The sequence below is a fragment of the Homo sapiens genome, chromosome 3 (genome assembly GCF_000001405.40).
Source record: "Homo sapiens chromosome 3, GRCh38.p14 Primary Assembly".
NCBI classification, from domain to species: domain Eukaryota; kingdom Metazoa; phylum Chordata; class Mammalia; order Primates; family Hominidae; genus Homo; species Homo sapiens.
Genome location: NC_000003.12, coordinates 80,024,724 through 80,032,166, shown reverse-complemented (window position 1 = coordinate 80,032,166; position 7,443 = coordinate 80,024,724).

Here is a 7,443-nt window from a genome sequence, read left to right as displayed (position 1 = left end):
TTTGCTTTTATAAAAATATTTTATTTCATTTTGCTCAAGATCTTTTTTTGTATCTTAAGGCTGCAATACAATTTATGAGTTTATCGCCACTTCCACTGTTACATGGATTATACCACTGAAGTTTTTGCTTTAAATCACACAATGTGCAAAGTGTAAAAATGCTACTGATCTTTACCATTTAAAATACCTCCTTCTTATAAGGACCCTGTGACAGCATGGGGACTCCTCTGGAAAATTCAGGATTATCTCCATTTCAAGATCCTTAAATAACCACATCCACAAAGTCCCTTTTGCCATATGAGGTAATAGTTACAGGTTCCAGCGATTAGGATGTGTGTATCTTTGACAGCCATTATTCAGCCTACTTCATATGTTATTGATTTGTACACTTGTTTGCTGAAAAGATAAATATAAATAAATTTTTAAATATTTGTAGAACATAAATATTGATAAATCATTTATTCATTAAACATTTATTAAATTTCCATAATATGGGGATTATACATAGTTTCTTTCAGTTAACACAGTTGTATTTTTTCTAAATATCTTTCAAACATACACATAAAATATAAAAATATGTATTAGATAATTTGATACTGATCTGATAGGAAAAAAAATTGCACACTCCTGGGATTTCACATGTGAGATGTAATGTATTTCTTTACATTAGCATTTGGAGTTAATTTGTGTTTCTGATATTAGAAGGCTTAATACCATTTTAATTAAAACTATACAGATCATAAATTTTAATCACTAATTACTACTAAAAGGTATGTGAGTAGCATAGAAATCACCCTCCTGTTCATTTGCTTTGGTCCTACAGCCGCCTCAAGTTAAGGAAACACTTGTCACTTTACATTTCTTACAAAGCTGTGCTTAATTCTTGCCACCTTCTTCTCATCTCTCTAGTCAGTGTAGATGTTTCAGTTACAGTAGAAAAACGCACAATGCCAAAGTGTTGTCAATAAACATACCGCCTGACACCAAGTGTCCTACAGTTCAGCAGGAGATAATGGTTAATGAAATTGATAAGATAGATGGAACACTTCAAATAATTTTTCACTGTCATAACCCCCCTATGCACTACTCTGGCGTTGTTTAATAAATCAACATGATCAAACTTGCAGAGAAACAGTCTTCGAAAGAAAGAGACTAGCCCTTATTTAGGTAAACACTGAACCTGGGATCTAAATACTACCTTTTAGTTGAAAATTATACATTTTCAGTTTCTATTTATATAAATTATAAGATTGAATTATAAATAAAACAAGTTTGGCTGTCAGAGGGGAAAAAGTCTTTTATAATAAGACAATAAAAATAATCACCTAAATTACTTTAGAAACTCAATAATACTACTACTGAAGGACAGACAGCATAATTTTAAGTGATTTTTCTTCAGTCTATAAACAAATATTAAACATCTTAAAAGAACATTAGATGTAAATAATGGTATATAGGCTATATTATTTCTTATAGCTTTGATTTACAATTATGTTTTATTTTGCTACAATTTATCTAAAACATACTGTCTAAAAACTTCTCTTTGGATAGCTTCTGTTATTAATCAGCTTAGCTATTTTGATAAAAGCCTGTGCTTTAACCTGCTGGGCAATATTGTAGCAATATTTGATGAGACAAGTTACCATTAAAGAAATTAAACTGCTGGTAATTTTACTTTCTTAAAAAATGCAAACCATTATTATCACAATGAGGTTTTTATCAAACTCGCTCAGAGCAGAAATTTTCTCTTATTTATAAGTTGTTAGAAATAATTATTATTTGATGCACAGTGTATCATAATAATTAGGGGCTGGCTAGGTTCAAATCCTGGTGCCATTTATTATAAGCTATGCGACTTCAACAGATCCACTGTGTTCCTTATGTAAATTTAGACTAATAATAGTGTCTACCTATCATTGCTGTTGTATTCTCAGGAGAATATATAAATTAATAAATGTGTGAGACTTTGAAGATTTCAAGTATGTAGTTAATGTTAGTTGATATTATAAGTCATCTGTATTAAATGATGATAGTAATTGTGATAAAGTACTAGATAATAGGTTAAAAATTTTCAAAGTAAGTCTATGATCTCACTTTAAGATGTATTGGGTTATGCCATAATTTCACAGTTTGTACAGAGGAAGTGCCTAGAAGATTCCTAACATGATAAGCACCCAAAGTATATAATAATTATTTCTATAAGTTGTAGTAGTCATTGATTTTTTGAGACTAGTATAATCTGGATCCAAAACTGATAAAGACAGTGCCAGATTAAAAATGCAGGTCAATCATGAAGTCTTTGCCCATGCCTATGTCCTCAATGGTATTGCTTAGGTTTTCTTCTAGGGATTTTATGGTTTTAGATTTTATGTTTACATCTTTAATCCACTTTGAGTTAATTTTTGAATAAGGTGTAAGGAAGGGGTCCAGTTTCAGTTTTCTGCATATGGCCAGCCAGTTTTCCTAACACTATTTATTAAATAGGGAATCTTTTCCCCATTGCTTCTTTTTGTCAGGTTTGTCAAAGATCAGATGGTTATAGATGTGTGGCGTTATTTCTGAGGCCTCTGTTCTGTTCCATTGGTCTATATATCTGTTTTGGAACCAGTACAATGCTGTTTTGGTTAGTGTAGCCTTGAATAAAACACCAAAATCAATGGCAACAAAAGCCAAAATTGACAAATGGGATCTAATTAAACTAAAGAGCTTCTGCACAGCAAAAGAAACTATCTTCAGAGTGCACAGGCAACCTACAGGATGAGAGAAAATTTTTGCAATGTATCCATCTGACAAAGGGCTAATATCCAGAATCTACAAGGAACTTAAACAATTTGAAAGAAAAAACAAGCAAACCCATAAATAAGTGGGCAAAAGATATAAACAGACACTTCTCAAAAGAAGACATTTATGCAGCCAACAAACATATGAAGAAAAAGCTCATCATCACTGGTCATTAGAGAAATGCAAATCAAAACCACAATGAGATACCATCTCATGTCAGTTAGAATGGTGATCATTAAAATGGCAGGAAACAACAGATGCTGAAGAGGATGTGGAGACATAGGACAGTTTTACACTCCTGGTGGGAGTGTAAATTAGTTCAACCATTGTGGAAGACAGTGTGGCAATTCCTCAAGGATCTAGAAACAGAACTATCATTTGACCCAACAATCCCATTACTGGGTATATAGTCAAAGGGTTATAAATCACTCTACTATAAAGACACATGCACATGTATGTTTATTGCAGCACTATTCACAATAGAAAAGACTTGGAACCAACCCAAATGCCCATCAATGATAGACTGGATAAAGAAAATGTGGCACATATACACCATGGAATGCTATGCAGCCATAAAAAAGGATGAGTTTGTGTCCTTTGCAAGGACATGGGTGAAGCTTCAAACCATCATTCTCAGCAAACTAACATAGAAACAGAAAACCAAACACCGCATGTTCCCACTCATAAGTGGGAGTTAAACAATGAGAACACATGGACACAGTGAGGGGAACATCACACACCAGGACCTGTTGGGGGTTGGGGGACTAGGGGAGGGATAGCATTATGAGAAATACCTAATGTAGATGATAGGTTGATGGGTGCAGCAAACTACCATGGCACGTGTATACCTATGTAACAAACCTGCAGGTTCTGCACATGTATTCCAGAACTTAAAGTATAATAATAATAATAATAATACAGGTCAATTTACCTGTGAAGATGAGCCAAGTTTCTAATTAAATTATTAGCTAAATGATTCCAATATTGTACTAAAATAATAAATCACAACTAAGAACCGTTTGTCCCAGCAACAAACGCGTAGTTTGTCAACAGAAAATATATCCCTATAAGGTGCCACAAAAAAAAAGAAAGAAAGAAAAGCACATTAGTACAAAGCATTGGATTGTGTTCAACAACTATTTATTTCGAAAATCTTAGGGCAAGAAGAATAAGCCATACTTTCTCAATCTGATAAAGGTTATCTCCATAACTTATAAATTGTATAATTCTATATAAGGGAAAAAGCTTAGAAGAATTCTACTTAGAGTTGAAAACAAAATAAAGATTAATCTCTTCAGGGGTAACATTCAAAATATTTAAAAACGTGTCCAGAATAAATGCCAACCAATCAGAATGCAAAGCAGTTTCGTGGAGTGTACCAGCTGATTACTAATTTGCTACAAGATGTTGAAGATCTAGCCAAGGCAATGATATAAAATAATGAGGGCTATGATAATTTTATGTAGAAAACATAACACAAGCCATAACTTATTAGATATACTGAGTTCAACAAGGTAGTCAGGGATATAATGAAGGGGAAAATTAGTGCAAATATTTTCTATTTGTGTTTACAAGAAAATAAGATAGTATTTTCCACAGCTACAAAAAGTAGCTCTCAGAGTTTGTTTTAGAATAACAATTACTGTTGACAAAAATTGAACAGTAACCTAAAACTGAATAAAATCTTTATGAAAATATGTAAGGATATAAAATACAAATATAGGAAGACTTAACATTGTAAAGATATCAATTACCATTAATCCGGAGAATAACTTTAAGACAAACTCGAGGAATACATATAGTAATGAGATCTGATTTTATATCCACCAGAAAGTCAATAATCTACATTTAATGACATAAATTTTTGTTGAGATTGTGGAAAAAATAGCCCTCATGCATTGCTTGTAGAAATGTAAATTTTTATGGCCGTTCTAGACTACATTTAGGAAATGTTTTAAATTATCAAACAATTCCACTTCTGGTAATGCCTAGAAGAATCATTTGCAAATCTACAAAAAGACATATACGAAGATATTCATTTTAGCATTGATTGAAATAGCAAGAATTTGAGACAGCTTAAATGCCTTTCAATTGAAAAATAGATAAGTAAAATGTGGTATAAGCAAATGTTAGAATCAAGTAAAGCAGTCAGAGATAATGAATTGAATTTACATTTATTATCATGGGCAGAACTCAGAAATAGACAATTCAGTGAAGAACAATAAGGAAGAAGCACATGAAGCTACATAACACATTATGTATGTAAATTTTAAAAAATGTGTACCTTTGAGGTTGAGATTGGGGAAGGCTTTAGCCTATTAATAAGTAAATAGGAAGATAAAATATTATTAATTAAGGAAAATGAAAGAAGAAAATGTTTGCGTGTTATGGACTGCAGATTTAGACTAATACAACTGTGTGTTACTGACTTAAAAACAAACTTGAGCTGGGCGCGGTGACTCACACCTGTAATTCCAGCACTTTGAGAGGCCGACGCAGGTGGATCACGAGGTCAGAAGTTCGAGACCAGCCTGGCCAACATGGTGAAACCTCGTCTCTACTAAAAATACAAAAATTAGCCGGGGGTGGTGACACACATCTGTAATCCCAGCTACTCAGGAAGCTGAGGCAGGAGAATTGCTTGAAGTCGAGAGGCGGACATTGCAGTGAGCCAATATCATGTGCCACTGCACTCCAGCCTGGGTGACAGAGTGAGACTCCATCTCAAAAGAAATACACAAACAAACAAACAAACAAAAAAAGACAAAAAACTTTCATAACTTTTACTCAACTCCTGTCAATAGCCCTAGCTGAACTTTCAACTAGAGATTCTTATGGAGAGTATTAATCTAATACAACAAATTAAGGCATGGTTTAATTCTAAGGACCAGCAATTATATCTAAATATTATTACCTAAATCTTTCAAATATTTTACAGGTCTATAAGGAGAAATAAATTATCTAACATGTTAATAGTGGCTTAACTTTCCATTTAACTTTCTGTGTATAAAATATACAAGAATAGTGTGTCTCTATTTGAGATGTTCAGCTATCAGCCTATCTATACTACAAGCATTTATTCTTGTAATTTTTAGCTTTTATTAAAACAAAGAATAATTAGAAAAGATAAGACTAAAGGGAAACTTAGTTATCTAGAAAATTTGCCATATAGTACACTATCTCATATTTGGTAAATCATATCAGATAGGCATATGGAGACTTAATTGTTTTATATGTGCTATATGATTTGCATAAATTTAATATCTTCAAAATAAGCTTACCATAAATGTGTCTTGAGTCTTTTCTTACTATTATCTCACAAATTTTTTAACACCCTGCATTTGACACACAGACCAAAATCTTTTCTATTAAAATTGGTTAAAATCTCATATGTGGGTGTTTTTGCATGTGTAAATGTGTGTGTAAGGTGCGGTTCTATCGACTGATATATAAATAGATAGGTAGATAGATAATAGAGAGATGATGTAAGCTAAAGTTCTGAAAACATTCTTATACATTTTCACAGAACTTTAGATTTTTCCTAAAACTGATAATGCACCTAATCTAAAATTAAAGAATAAAATATTGCAAATTCAAGAACATGAAAGAGGCATTACCCCACACACAATGGAAAACTTCAGTGGCAGGTTTAGATGGCTGATGATTTTAAAGGAAACAAAAAGACTGTGCGAATCCAGAATCCTGATCCTGGGTCATGGTGTTCTGTGTTTAGAAATCAATTCTTCCTGTTTTAAAAAGTCAAAGTTTTATCCAAAATTAGAGCTGCATAAAAAGTATCTGTGAGCTAATTAACCCTTCTCACTGACTCTTCTTCTTAGTAGCCAAATGGAACCTGCTGAGAACAACTGAAATGGTGAATACTTGATGGTGGCATTCGGGACTAAATGAACACATGGGAGAGTCAATCATGAGAGTTTCACGTGATATCTGTCTGAAACACAACTGCTATTTAAACTTGCTCACCTATATTTTAATATTTCTAGGCCAGGTGTGGTGGCTCATGCTTGTAATCCCGGCACTTTGGGAGGCTGGGGGGGGGGGGGTTGCGGATCATGAGGTCAGGTGTTCGAGACCAGCCAGGCCAACATGGCAAAATCCCGTCTCTACTAAAAATACAAAAATTAGCCAGGAGTGGTGGTGGGTGCCTGTAGTCTTAGCTACTTGGGAGGCTGAGGCAGGAGAATCACTTCTTCTGGGAGAATCGGGGAGATGGAGGTTGCAGTGAGCCAAGATCACGCCACTGCACTCCAGCCTGGGTGACAGAGCAAGACTCTGTCTCAAAAAAAAAAAAAAAAAAAATTAAAGCCCTAAATTAGATGCTGTGCTTCTGCTGCATTTTAACTTTCCTTAGAAACTTTTATTAATCTGCGTTACTAAAACCTAGTAACTAAACATTAAAAACTTAAAATAGGGACATACTTGAATGGCTATAGTATATGAACATTGAGTTTGATGCATATAAACAACCAAAAAGGTAGAAAGTAAATCACTGTTAAAAACTGTTTCCTGAGCATTTGAAAACTCCAAAATATTATATCATTACTTATAATGTGAAAACATGTTAAAAATAAAATTACTCCTTATTTAGGAGAGTGTGTTTCACAGCATAGACTAAAACGAAATTTCTCTTGTGTGCCCACC